Here is a 14,262-nt window from a genome sequence, read left to right as displayed (position 1 = left end):
ATTGTCTATTCTTGATGTCTCCAATTCTTCTTTTATTTCTTTTTGAATCCACTTTGATCACTCCAATTCATCGCTCCCGCTCCACTGAAGCTCTTGTCAAGGTCACTACTTATTTCCAGGTGAAAACTCCAATGGTTAATTCTCAAATTTCTTTTTACTTGACCTACCCAAACTGGTTGACACAGTTAATCATTCTCTCCTTGAAACACTTGATTTACTTTTTCTTCTAGGAGCCCCCTTTTCCTCCCTCACTGAGCCCTCTTCTTAATCTCGTAGGCCAATTTCTCTTCCTCCTCAGAAATCCTTAAAGTTGGGGTGCTCCAGGGTCCAGTACTTGAACCTCTGTTTCATCCAGGCTCGCTCTCAAAGTAATCTTATCCAGGCCTCTGGCTTTACATACCAGCAGTACACTGATGAACTTGCAAGTTTATATCTCCAGCACGGACCTTTTTCCAAAACCTGATTATCCAATTGCTTCCTCAACATTTCCTGTTAAACATTTAGTGATCTTGCAAACATGACGTGTCTAAAACTAACATGTTAAGAACAAAACGTGCACAAACCTTCTCTTCTCACTGTCTTCCTTACCTCGATCAATGGGGAACTTCATACTACCAGTTGCTTAGGTCAAAATCGTTGCAGACATCCTTGACTCCTCTGTTTTCCTTACACTCCAAAGCCAATCCATCAGCAAATTCTATCAGCTCTTCCTTAAAATATATTCAGAGTCTGATTACTTCTCACCATCTCCACCACGTACAACATGGTACAAACCATGATTGTCTTTGTCTGGATTGCTGCAGTAGTCTCTTAATTGGACTTCCTGTGTTCGCTCCTGACTCTCGGCAGTCTGACCTCTTTATAGCATCTACGGGTGTTCGTGTTTTATTCCGAGTACTAGCTACAGTTCTTACAGTGGCCTGCAAGACCCAGCGTCATCTGGCCTCTGCTTCTTCTGTGGCCCCATCTCCTGCCTCTCTGTCCCTTGCCCACTTTGTACCGGTCTTGCTGGCCTTTCTTGTGCTTCCTGGAACCTTTCAAACATCCTCCTGTCTTAGGGCTTTCCATCTGCTCCCTTCCCTGGAGTGTGCCCTTTCTGCTGGTCCCAGGAGAGATGTCGTCTCTGATTAACCTACATCAAAGAGTAACCCCCTACTCTAGCACTTTCTTTCACCTTGACCCCATTTATTATTCCCCCCATGTAAGTTATCAGTGTTTGATACACTATGTGTTTGTTTATTTGCCTTTTTTTAATATTTGTATGCATGTTTGATTCCTGCCCTAGCTCCTAGAATAGTGCTTGGCATCTGTAAGTGCTTAACACACAGTTGATAAATGAACAAATGACTCATAAGACTAAAATGATACCAGAACTGTAGATCAGAAGTTTACTAAAATGGTATCAGGAAACTGAAAAAAGTTCCCTAGAGGATGAGGTCTGGGTCATTTTGCCATAGAATCCTCTGTAAATCTTAGTATTCCATGAGTCCTTCTGACCTTGCTTGTACTGTAAGCAAGCTTGACCAGAAGGGAGGGTCCTAACAAGGGGATTCTCCAGGTTCTTTTTGGGCTACTCAATTCTCCTTATATGTGCTAGAATAAAAAATTGCATTTCCCCTCCCCACTTTTTTTTTTTTTTTTCTGGCCATTGATAGCTTTCAAGAGGAAATAAAAAGGCATTGCTTAAATGCACAGTATCTGAATTTTGGTCCAGACTAGAAACTTCAAGATGTATTTTAGTAGATGCTTTTTGAGCAATTTAAGACTAGATTATAATTTTGTTTAGATTTACTGAAAGAGCAGCTTCATAGTTTTAAACAAGGGGATAGCAAGGGCTACCATGACATTGGAGGCTGAGGAAACTGAATACCACTGTATACTCTCAGACATCACCACCAGATAATGGCAGCCAGAGGGGACCTGGCACTGTCCTATGTGGCTGGGTGCCCTGTCTGCTGGCCGCTTGTGAGGGACATGCTACATCCATGAGACAGAATCACTCTCTGTAGCCTCTTCCCCCTTGCCTAACCCACTCACTTCTGCAAATAACCTCGGACTCTCTCAAACACCCGAGCTCAAACATTTGTAGGTGTTCTTTATTCAGACTCAAGAACTTGCAATTTCATTGTGACCTCTTCAAACAGCACGAGTAAGGAGAAATGGTGAGAGAAACACATCTTTTAATGTTGTTTCCTGGCTCTCAAAGTATGTTACATAAAAAGAAAAATAATAAACTTAAAAATGTTTTTTGAACTGTCATTTGATGATGTGTTCGGCAGTCTTCAGAAAATAGGTACATGTTACTAACACATTAGGAGGAAAATAAGTTAAATAATAATTTCCAGCAGCAAGCCTGAAGGCTATCATATTGTCACTCAATAATCTGTTTCTGAAAATCCCCAAATGCATTTTAGTAGGTCTGCATGCTTTCAGCTTTCTGGATCACATATCATAGGCATTACATCCAAAAGAAACAGAGGCAGTCAAACTGACGGATTCTAATTTAGAAACTGAAAAGTGAATCTTCTAGTGTTTCTGAAGGTTAAAAAAATGACAGCCTTGCCTCTTCTCCTGAAAACTTATCTTTAATTATGCTTTGTGGTGGGAGAAAAACAGCATACTTGCTGAGTACAATACCTGAGTTTTAAAAGCTACTTTAAATTAATGCATTCATACTTTAATCAGTGGGTCAAGGAGTCCGCTTTGCAGAGCTCACAGCTACATTTATGCAGCCAATCTTGATTTATAAGAGAAATCAAGGCTGAGCACAGTTGAATACAGGGAAATCACCACCTACAAATAGACAGTGAGGGCTTCATTAGATTAAAACCTTTTGCCTGTTTGGGGTATGTTCTTTCTTTCCTGTTGAATTCCTGAGTAAAATAAGGTTGGGACCTCCTGGGCTGCATTCCTAGATGGTTAGACATTCTAACTCATAGGATGAGATAGGAGGTTGGCACAAGGTACAGGTCATTTGCTGATAAAACAGGTTGCAGTGAAGAAGCCGGCCAAAACCCACCAAAACCAAGATTGCCATGAGAATGACCTCTGGTTGTCCTCACTGCTACACTCTCACCAGCACCATGAGAGTTTACAAATGCCATAGCAATGTCAGGAAGTTACTCTATATGGTCTAAAAGGGGAGGCATAAATAATCCACCCCTTGTTTAGCATATCATCAAGAAATAACCATAAAAATGGGCAACCAGCAGCCCTCGGGGCTCCTCTGCCTATGGAAGTAGCCATTCTTTCATTCTTTACTTTCTTAATAAACTTGCTTTCACTTTATTGTATGGACTTACCCTGAATTCTTTCCTGCACAAGATCCAAGAACCCCTCTCTTGGGGTCTGGATCTGGACCCCTTTCTGGTAACAAAACGAGTGCCCTACGTGATATTTTACAGGGTAGCGGTAGAAAGCCTCAGAATGTTTATGTGTAACTTCAAGGTTTCTACTCTTTCTACTTTAAATCATGTGCTTGAAGTTTAGATAAATCGTTTATTTTACATTAACGTTTCTATTTTCTTTGTTTTAACAACTGTGTATGGCTTGTATCTCGTCTCTCTCCCTCTAAAAGTACATTCAGTATATTCATTGGAAAGTATTTGCCTAACACCAAGTTAACTAGTACTAATTAATTCTCAAAATCATAATTAATAGGTAACTGCATTGTGGGCAGTATATCTCAAAAGGAGCACTTTCCCTTGGTTAATATTTCACATGTACCTTAACCGTAGGAAGATACTATCTGAAAATGCAATTCTAAATAAGGATGTTAACTACCCTGTTGAAAAGTACCTGAATACTTCACTGCAAACAAATCTTGCATGTAAAATATAAAAATTCTCTGTGTTGCATTTGAAATCTGATAAATATTTATTATCAATGCTGTTTGCTTTTAATCTGTTCAGGATATCATTTCTCCAGCTTCTTAGTAGTTAAACAAAAATGGCATTTACATTACAATATTGCTTGCCAACAACCTCATTTTCTGGTTTAGTCAGCAGCCCTTCATGCTTGATTAGTCTTTAATTATACAAATACCTACATATTAAAAAAAGTTTTCTTTTTTCCATACTTTGAGCATGTAATTATTTTCTCTTGCATGCAATAACCTTTAATTTTAGGATTAAGCAACTGATTCTTTTTAGTATGGATGGGCCTTTTCAAGTGTTAAAGCAAATTTGGTTATTGTATTATGAGAAAAATTAACTTTGGGAAACCTCTCATCAGTGCATTTGACAGCTCCCTGATCAACTGTTACAGAAAGCATCTGGAATCTAAAAAATAAAACGAGACTTCATTCCTCCAGCTTTTTGCTATGTCTCCCTATCTCTTTGGTCTAGAAATGTGATAATTTAATTAATTAAAGCCTCCAATGTACCAATTTTCCTATTTCCATAAATTAGGAAGGAGAGCATATATTTTACATAAAAATATTTTAATACAAAGGCTGTTTACAGTTCTAGTAGAGAAAACCCCAAACTGTAAACTTTTATAATAAAATATTTTTCTATAATAAATCCAGAGGATGTTTAAAATATATGAGTATCTTGTTGGGTTATATGGTGTTTCTCTCTACTGGCCATGCCTAATCCTTGGGGCCAATGAGATGATCAAACAACAATGAGGCTTAGAAGTGGTACCTCTCTTTGCAAAACCAAACTTGGTGTAGATGAGCAAATCCTTTACATACTGTCTAACACGTTGTTAGGTACCTCTTCTGTATTACTTTCCTTCTTTCTGCTCTCATACTAAACCCAGAAAAAAAATCATTTTCTTAAGGGAATCACCTTAAGAAGCAAACTAACTTGAGAACGTCACAGCACTCAATAGCCACATTAAATATGTACCATGTTCTAGGTTCCATATTAGGCATGAAGGAAACAGAAGCGAATAAGACTCACAGATCTATGCAGTAAGGTTTTGGCCTGTGTTTAACATGCTGCCAAGAAGACATTTTAACTTTTCTTTATTATCTGTTCCAAAGTTTAATTCATGGGACAATAAAAGCATCTTCTTGTCATACTCTTTTTTTTTTTTTTTTTTAAATACAGAAGTACAGCTCCACTTTCTTTTGTCCTATTCTCAGGGTTAGCCAGAGGATCTCAGAGTCTGACAGGACCATAAAGCACACCTGATCCGACTCCTCTACTCTTCAAGAGAATCACTGAGGAAATATTAACTGATATTAATGAACAATCATCTTCAGTTACTCAATCTTTCTGTTAAAAACCCCAGTTTCTCACAATGCTATAGCTCAACCCATTAACCATTTGTTTGTGTATTGCCCTTGAGCCTTAAATAACATCTCTTTATTAATAAATTGTTTACAACTTTATAGAGCAGTAGTTCTTAAACCCTGCTGATCATCAGAATCACTGGCTGCATCCAGGACATTCTGATTTTGCAGTTACTGGGTTGGGCGAGGAGAATTTGTGTTATTAAAGAGTCCCCATCTGATTAAAACTTTTTTATTTAATTTTTTCTTATGAGGAATTTTAAATACATCTAAGTAAGACACAATAGTATAATTAGGTCACATGGACCCATCAGCCAGCTGCAATAATTATCAACTCATGGCCAATATTCTTTCATCTGTACCCCACCCAAACACGTCCACCCACATTATTCTTTTTCCTTCAATATCATTTTAGAAAAAAATCCTAGGGCATGCCATCATTTCATTTGTATTTCTGTAGGTATCTTCAAAAGCTACTGTTAAAAAAAAACTACCTATCACTATCACACCAAAAAATATTAAAAATAATTCTTTCGTATCATCAGATATCCAGTCAGTGGTCATACTTCCAATTGTCTCATAAATGTCATGCTTTTTCTTTTTTACAGTTTGCTTGAATTGTAATCTAAATAAGGCTCACATAATGAGATTGGTGCTGTGTCTTTTGATCTACAGGTCCAATTCTCCTAGCTCACTCTCTCTCTTTCTCTCAAAATTCATCTGAGAAGAAATCTCTGCAGGTGGTTTTGATATGTGGCCAATCTGGGAATCATGACTGCTCTGAAGCACCCTCAGAGGCCACCAGAGGGGGCGCTAGAGCAATTCGTACTCTGAAGCCCCCACCCTTGTTTATGAAACCCTTTGCCCCTTCCCCTCCGTGCCACCTGCAAACCTTTTCATAACATGGCATTTTTGGCTCTAGAGAGAACATGATACATTTATAAGAATTACTTTTTCCATCTTCTTATTAAATTTAGAAGTCATCCAAACTTCTTAGCTTTTGTGGCATCAAGCCAAGTGAAATCAGGTGGCAGTTTGGAAAAATGTTGGAGGTGGCATGGTGATGGGCTTGGGGTAAAAGGCCCAATAATTTATCCTCCAAGCCAGAACAGTCCTGAGAATGAAATGTTAGGGATTACCTGGATGGTAGACTTGCACAGAGACTACCCCGGTTAAAAGGAGGTGGGAGGATCCCTTGGGGTCAGACCGGGGCTCAAACTCCAGCTCCACCTCTTACAAACTGTGGGACTTTTGATGAGTTACCAGCTTCCTCTGAACCCTAGTTTCCTCGCTTTCATAAGTAATTGCATGGCATTCGTAGAAAAACATACCCAAAACACCTAGGACAGTGCCTGGCATATGTTAAGTGCCCAGCAGTGTTTTTGTTTTTTAAACTGGATCCTTGTTTTCATACTGGGAGATTCCATGTGTGTTTGCCTGCTCTTGCAGTGGGGTTTGAAGCAGCCAGGCTGTGTCATGTGAGAGTCCCAGGCATCCAATAGTGGGGTGTGAGGTGCACTCAAGGTAGGAGATCCATTTTCATTTTCTTTGGGTCTCCCTATCTTCTTTATAATATGTTTATGCTTTGGGTAACATGATTTAACCCACGGATCAATCAGATCTATAAAGTATTAACAAGACCTGCTTCTTTGCCTATTATATTCTGAATAGCAAGAACTACCATGTGTTATTGAGATGGTAGGGAAAAGGAAACAGATTAATTAGAAAATGATGGTCCTTACTTTGATGTACATTTCTTCCCAGATAAAATAAACTGATTTAAAGCATTTAAATCAAGCCCCCATTTCCCAAAACCCACTGTGAAGATAATGCAGAGAAGGATGGGGTTGAAACAATTTCAAAGGAGTCATCGTAGCATCTAAGGCTTTTATAGTTCTTATGATGTGCCAAGCATGGTTCTAATTATAACAATAAATAGCTCTTCTTTCATTAGTCATCGTTATCTTCGTCAAGAAATTTTGCAAAGAAATTTAAGACAGTCTGATCACAGGCACTTACATATTTGTGACATGAATAATTGTTAAATCAGAAATCGTCACATACAACAATTATTGACAGCCCTGGGATACACAGAGGTGTGAGACATTGTGTCTGTTCTTAAGGGGCTTATAATTCAAATGAGATAATAAATTGTTCATAAAAAAGATGAAAATAAAAGAAAAAGACTTAAAGAGCAAATGCTAAGTGCCCAATATACGAGTTCAGGAAAGTGATTGTTGAGGGCTGGGCCACTGTGGGCACTTCATGGAAGGAGCAGGAAGTGAAGTGAGCCATGAGGGGTCAGTGATGAGAAGACGGGACATTCCAGGCAAGGGGCATGGACCAGCAAAGCGAGGGAGGGATTGTGTCAGGCACATCTGGGCATGGTGGGAGGCCAGGGTGAATGTGGCAGAGGGAGTTGGAGGATGGGGTGATGAGTAGGGCCAGAGTGTCCAGGCTAAACAGGCCAGCAGAGGGTTTGAGCATGGAGGTGATATAAACTAAATGTTCTTTTAGGAAGATTAACTTGACAGTGGTTTGCAAAGTGGATTAGAGAGAAAACAGAAGTAGAAAGACCAAGTTAGGGAAGATGGTGATAGCTCTGCCTTGGGGCCAGAGTAGGTGGGAAAAGTGAGAAAAGTTCCAGGTACTTTGGATGTGAAGCTCGACAGCCCCTGACTTCTCTGACCAGGGGCCTGTGGACCTGGCCTTCGACTTGCACCTTCCTGAGGGACACAGCTTCCAGGGGCCTAAATTAGCCAATTAATCCCTGTGGGGTTCTGTGCTTCCTTCCCACTGTTTCTCTTTCCCTTTCACTTTCTCTTTAGAATTATCTACTCATTTTTGGTGGGACTACTTGTCAGCTTTTAATATATTACTTAGTCTCTCATTTTAATAGGCTTGTTAAACCACTAATCTGCTGTGTGTTTTCAACCACATAGGCAGTGGTATAATGTTGAAACTTGAAGTTCCCTGGAAGATACGTGTGTGTGGGCGAAGGCTGGGGGGCTGGGTGGTGGGCATTTCTTTTTCGTTCTTTTTGACTGTTGGGAAGGGTGTTTGGTGTTTAGGGGCTCATATCACATGCAATATGTTGGGATACTGATATACCTGCTTCCTGGCCTGCTATACACCTAAGAAATCCCATCTCTGTCTACCTGAAAAGCTGGGTCTTTCAGGCTAGGGTTTTTCAAATTCTTCTGATCTTGTCTCATAAGAAGAAACACATTTTACATCTCAGGCCAACACATATATACATACAAAATATATATGTACAATTAGATCTATCTCTCAACATGTAACTATATATGTTCATTTGTATATCACTTAAAGGAAAGTGTCCTTAAAAAAATTTGTAGCCTTTCTGTGCTCTGGCATTTTCTACTCCTTTTTATTATTTTCTTTTAAAAATGCTAGTTACAAACTACTAAACCAATTTAGCAATCACTCACAATGTCATGAAAAACACCATGCCCTTCCCCAATCTGGGCACATGGTCCCACCTAATCCTTCACAAGGATCCCTAGAAAGGTCCAAGGCACAGCCTCTTGAGTGCCAGGGCCAGCCTGTTTCCATGACTGCCTGTCTTCCTATTCCTTGGTTCAAGGGATCCTCATTTTAAAAATGTGCCAGATTCATTCCTGGTGGGAGGGAGAGCCTTGTCAGACTGGGGGCAGAGAGTATAAACATCTGGCCCAGTGATGAATAAATGGGATTTAGGCAACCTATCATATGGTCAAGAAGAGAGCTCTTACTGCTCCAAAGGCAACTGATAACTATTGATTGGGAAGAACACCTCCTCTCCCTGCTCCTTTCCAATAATCTCTGTTTTAAGATGATTTCCTTCAGGAAAGGCTGAACTCTCTTTATCTAGTTTCCTGATAAAGCAGAAATAGTTAGCAAGAAGTCTTACATTCCTCCTAAATTCTAACTTCTGAGAATTCCTAATGAAATGGCTAGACTGGGTCTCCTTCTTTGTGTTTTAGGGTCTCCTTTGAATCTCTAATGGGGAGATAAGAATTAACTACAGTGAGATTCAAGGAGATACAATGAAAAGGATCTAGACTCTGATGTGTTTTCTTTAAAAAATACTATACGCCGTCCACATCAACCCTGAACACATGGTATGGTATAAAGTGGTGTTTATCTAAACATTAGAACACCAGGACCATATCTATGTTGGAACAATCAGATCTCACAGCCTAGGTTTCTTCTTCCTCTCTTGTGACACTTTAGATTATTTCAATCCATGTCCTAGTTGAAGAACCATGTTGGCAAGGAGATTTTTCTAAAGGTTTTTTCCTATTGCTCAGAGCTAAAGGTTTTGTCCTCTGACCTTTTGATTCCCACTCTGCATCTAATCAATGTCAGGTCACCACACGTAAAACTAAAAGGAGGTTAAATGGAAAAAACAAAAGCACAAAGCCAAACAAGCACAGGGCCCCAGGCCCGCCCGGCTGAGATTAAAAAGCTCACCATTTTGAAATAGTACAATAGTACAGTCTCTTGGAAAAGAAAATATTTCTTGTTTACCCTCCCTGTTCCCCCCACCTCCCATTTGTTTGGTGCCTGATTTGTTTCCAGTTGCAGCAGGGAGGTCAGAGCAAGCCAGGAAAAATGAATGGAATCAGCCTCCTGCCGGGCCGCCTGGAGCGGGCGGGTGTTACGGATCAGCGTAAAGCCAGCTTCCTTTCCCGGGCCTGGGCCGATGTAACTCACTGGAGTGGCAAATTACATCAGACCTACAGCTGTAACCCGACATTATGATTAATTTGATCAGTAATTTCTCCTGTTTTTCATTTTAATCGGTGTGACTATTCTGCTGTGGCAGGTCTTTCAGATCTAATTAAGATAAATTTCCGAGTAAAAGACTTGGCAGACTTTCCGAGTCAAATCCAGGCATCAAGTGTGAAGACCTGCAGCCCCAGTCCATCACCTTTGGGGAGGGCCGGGCCTCCTGCTGGGCAATCAGCCATTCACACTTAAGCAAATTCATAATCTCCAGCACTGCTTAGTCATTCTCTCAAAACGTCCCAGGCAGGAAAAGAAAGGAAGAAAAGCCCTAGACAATGTCATGTTTCCCCATTCCACTGATTTGCCCAAACTACATGGATCACCCCATAAGTGGATGCTTTACAGAATCCCTTAGATGATTTTAAATAAATTTTAAAGCATTTTAAATAAATCCATGCATACGTATATATTAAGCAAACGCAAGTATGCATACATACAAATATTGAAAATACATGTAAGTGACTATGAGGATTTGTCGTTCACATGTACATAATAGTTTAACCCTTTAGTGCAAGGAGACAACTATATACATATTGGGTGGGGGTTGGCAGGACATAAGAGTTTATTTTCCCAATTTGTTTTCTTTTAGGTCAACCCATGCATTCATGTATGCATCCTTAGGCTGATATTTGTACAAGTTCCGGTAGGTTTCTGTTCTTTGAAGATGAAAGTGTGAATGAGATTTCTTCCCAAAGCCCATCATCAGCAGGACCTGCCCGTCCAATCTGGGGCAGGCAGACATTGGACAAAGGTCCAGCTGTGCCTGGGTTCCTAGGTCCACCTGCCTCCTTGCAGGAAATGCAAAGTCAGGCCAAGACCTTTGAAAGGGCAGGTGTTTTTGAAGACATTTCTTCCATTTTGTCAAGAAAACGTGTTTTTATATTCCATGTTCTCACTTACAGGTGGGAGCTAAATCTTGGGGACACAGGGACATAAAAGATGGGGGGAACATGAGACTCTAGTGGCTTCCAAAGGTGGCTGGGTAGGAAGGGGCAGGGGCTGCAAAAGTTCCTTTTTTTGGGCACTATGTTCATTACCTGGGTGATGGAAGCAATAGAAGCCCAAACCTCAGCACCTTGTGATATACCTTTGTAACAAACCTGCACATGTACCCCCAAATATAAAATAAAAATGAAAATTGAAAAAAAAGGAAACCATTGTCTTGCAATGATGGCAGCACTTCCAATTATTATAAAGTAAATTCCCCATTCAAACAGGAGTGACTATTTCTGAAAACAAACATATCACTGGAGTATGCTTACTATGAATGTCATTTTGTACACAGTTCTCCTGCACCCCTGCCCCCTTAAGAGGTTAAGGAATTTCTCCGAACCACCACTACAGGATCTGAAATCAGGTAAAAAGAACCACAGTCTGATTCTGTGTATGGCCTCTACATTTTAAGGATCATTTTGTTACTGTTTTGCATGTATCTTGTGTTTTGCTCTCGAAAAAGAGTGTTGAAGCTATGGTGTTAGGAGAAGCTGCCGCCTCCCCTCACTGAGGCAGGCAATCTCAAATGCACTGTGATTGCTGCATGAAAGACAGTGGGGACAGGTATGTGTGATCTTCACAGTCCTATAGCAAGGTGATTTGGGGCCTACAAATTATCATAAGACCCTCTGACTTCTCACAGGGTTTCTGTTAGCTATCTCAGCTCTAATTTAGTTAGTGGCCACAGACCACTTTAATCGCTGCACTGGTGTTTCAGTTTTGTAGAAATGGCTTCAACAAAACTAGTATATTTACTAAACAAAAAGAACAGACTTGTCCTCAACCCCAAGCTTAGAGTTACTGATTGCTGAGCAATAATCAATCAAGATTTAGATCAGGAGCTATGAGAAAGATGTAAGCTACAAGAAAGGTCAGAGAGGTGGGCAAATGAGAGTCTTTCCTCCAACAGTGCTATCTACCTCCATGACTCCAGGAGTCATGTAATTTAAATAACATCACTTTAGAAGGAGGAAACTCCCACCATGAGAAAAGACTAACAAGAGGCAGATTTGCGCAGTGGGTGAGGTTTTGACATCAGATAGATCTGAGTTTAAATCTCACTTCTTACAAGTCCTCACACCTAACGTCCTCATGTGTGAAATGGAGCTGGTGGTACTGGGGCAGGAGGGTGGTGGGTCCATTGAGTAGCACTTTACCATTCAAGGTGAGCAACCCGCTGCATCAGCATTCCTGGAGCTGGTTAGAAATGCAGCATCTGGGGTGGGCTCTGGATCAGAATCTACATTTACCAGCATTTCAGGTGGATCCATATGCAAATAAAAGTTTGAAAAGCCCTACTATAAACTAGATGAGACAACATCTAGCAGCAGTGGGGCATCTAATGGGCTCTCAATCAGTAGCAATTGTTCTTGTTTTGAGAAGATGTTAAAGATTATGAAAAGGATTATTTACTTTCCCTATTATATTTTAAATATCAAATAGGAATCACCAGGTTTGAACTTTTTCTGCAGATATCGGGCTAATAATTCAACTCCAGAGTCTGGGAGGGGCCCAGGTGGCTGACAAAGCACAGACAGGGTTGTTTTCCTTTCCTGATGGGCTGTGAATCTGGGGAGGGGTAGAGCACAAATGATGCTGGCTCATCCTTTTTGGAAATGAAGACCCAGTCTTATTATATCATAAAATAAAGTCAGTGCTGACTCATGCAATCAATACTTACGGCAAAAAGCATTTTGCATAAACAAAGGGTAGGATTTTGTTCTTTATAAATGAATAACTGGCAGCCTATTTACAAGATCATACATAGTTGTCCTCAAAGCTGGCTGCACACACGGAGTCTCCTGGAAAGTTTAAAAAATGCTGGTGCCCACCGCGGTTCCATTAGAATCCTTGGGTGGGCCCCAGGGCATTGGTATCTTCAAACAACAAACAAACAAGCAAACAAACTCCTCAGGTGTTCCCAGCGTACAGCCAACATTGGGAACCACTGCTGTAAACTTGGAAAATCTTCTCTTGGAAAAGAATACAAAGGAATTGAACAAAATATGGCTGTAGGAGCGCAGGCGTGGTCTCAGCTGTTTGAAGATGGTGTGGCTTGGGTGAGACAAGAAGAGGGAGAGACAGTCACCTGCCAGGCAAGGCCCAGTGGCCCTGAAAATATTTGATTACATGCAGGTCTTCCTTTCTGGTATGAAGATACTCACTTTTTCACTTGAGAGGCTCACTAGCAATGAAAATAACATGTAGGCTGTGCCTTGAAGATGTGTCAAATGGCTTTAATGTGATCATTGCATGCAGGGAGCTTGGAAAACATCCATTTTTGCTTTCTGCCTTTCATAACTTTCTGCCTCAGGTTGGTCCCAAAGACCACTTGGCTTTAGCCTTAGATTGGTCAGATTCCTTCCATGGAGTGCAGACTACTGGAGGTGAGAACTGCTCTAAGGAATATTCCTTTTTTAAACCTTAGACAGGAGTTCAAGATTATTTATATTTTATCTAATTAAAAAAACCCCAAAAAACCAAGTTTCCAAGACAACCAGATTCCAGAGAGCTTTCCTTGGGGGAAGTGAGAGGGTTTCTCTTAAATCTTCTCCCCGGACCCCTAAATGTTGCTTTGTTCTCTTTAAACGCCACAGTCACAACATCAAAATACAAGGACAGAGAACTCATGTCTGGAAAGAGCAGCTAGTCTCTGGCAGGATATGGAGTCCAGCTGAGAAAAAAAAAAAGGAATCTCTAACTTTACTTCTTTTTTATGACAGTTAAATATCTCCTGGTGTAGAAAACTAAGTGGAGGTGCTGGGCTGAGCCCTGTCGAACTACAGTTCAGACAAAACGGGCTGGAAGGGTTGCATTGATCGGAGCCCAACTGAGCCTTCAGACACAGCTACTAGTTCTGAGCACAGAGCTGACAGCATACAAACGCAGGGCACCCCTCCACTGCTGCATTCATCTGCGGCCATGAAGGCATCCCTACCGAGTGGCCAAGGACACAGAATTGCCCTATCCAGGAGACAGCCACTCCAAGTGGCACATGAACCTGTCCTGCATGCCTCAACATGGTGCCTTTCTCTGCCTTGGCTCTGCACTCACAGGGCCCCAGGACTGGTGTTTTCAGCCAGAATGCCCAATTTAGTTCTCAACAGTGGAAGACAAAAGAGAAAGAAAACACCAGTGATTCTGAGAGTCTATTTTTAAAAACAGGAAATAGAAAAAGAGCAGGATAGGAGCCTTGTAACTAAGACAATGCCCCACAGACATGGAGTTTTGAC

The 14,262-nt window shown here is 40.7% G+C and overlaps 1 protein-coding gene across 5 annotated transcripts in view, besides 2 other annotated features; it reads right to left on the bottom strand.

The window, feature by feature from the left end:
- The window catches only part of POU6F2 (POU class 6 homeobox 2), a 490,693-nt gene that overhangs the window by 104,679 nt on the left and 371,752 nt on the right, over positions 1-14,262 (bottom strand). The window lies entirely within an intron of this gene.
- Positions 9,346-9,923: an enhancer, noted in NCBI's record as "NANOG-H3K27ac-H3K4me1 hESC enhancer chr7:39393599-39394176 (GRCh37/hg19 assembly coordinates)". NCBI's record gives its function as "activates a minimal SCP1, AML or CMV promoter by ChIP-STARR-seq in naive H9 embryonic stem cells {active_cell/tissue: H9 hESC(naive)}" and the evidence as "EXISTENCE:reporter gene assay evidence [ECO:0000049][PMID:30033119]".
- Positions 9,924-10,501: an enhancer, noted in NCBI's record as "OCT4-NANOG-H3K27ac-H3K4me1 hESC enhancer chr7:39393021-39393598 (GRCh37/hg19 assembly coordinates)". NCBI's record gives its function as "activates a minimal SCP1, AML or CMV promoter by ChIP-STARR-seq in naive H9 embryonic stem cells {active_cell/tissue: H9 hESC(naive)}" and the evidence as "EXISTENCE:reporter gene assay evidence [ECO:0000049][PMID:30033119]".

Source organism: Homo sapiens, chromosome 7, assembly GCF_000001405.40.
Source record: "Homo sapiens chromosome 7, GRCh38.p14 Primary Assembly".
In the NCBI taxonomy this organism is placed as follows: domain Eukaryota; kingdom Metazoa; phylum Chordata; class Mammalia; order Primates; family Hominidae; genus Homo; species Homo sapiens.
Note: the sequence above shows the minus strand (reverse complement) of the source record. Positions and strands in the feature narration are given on the sequence as shown.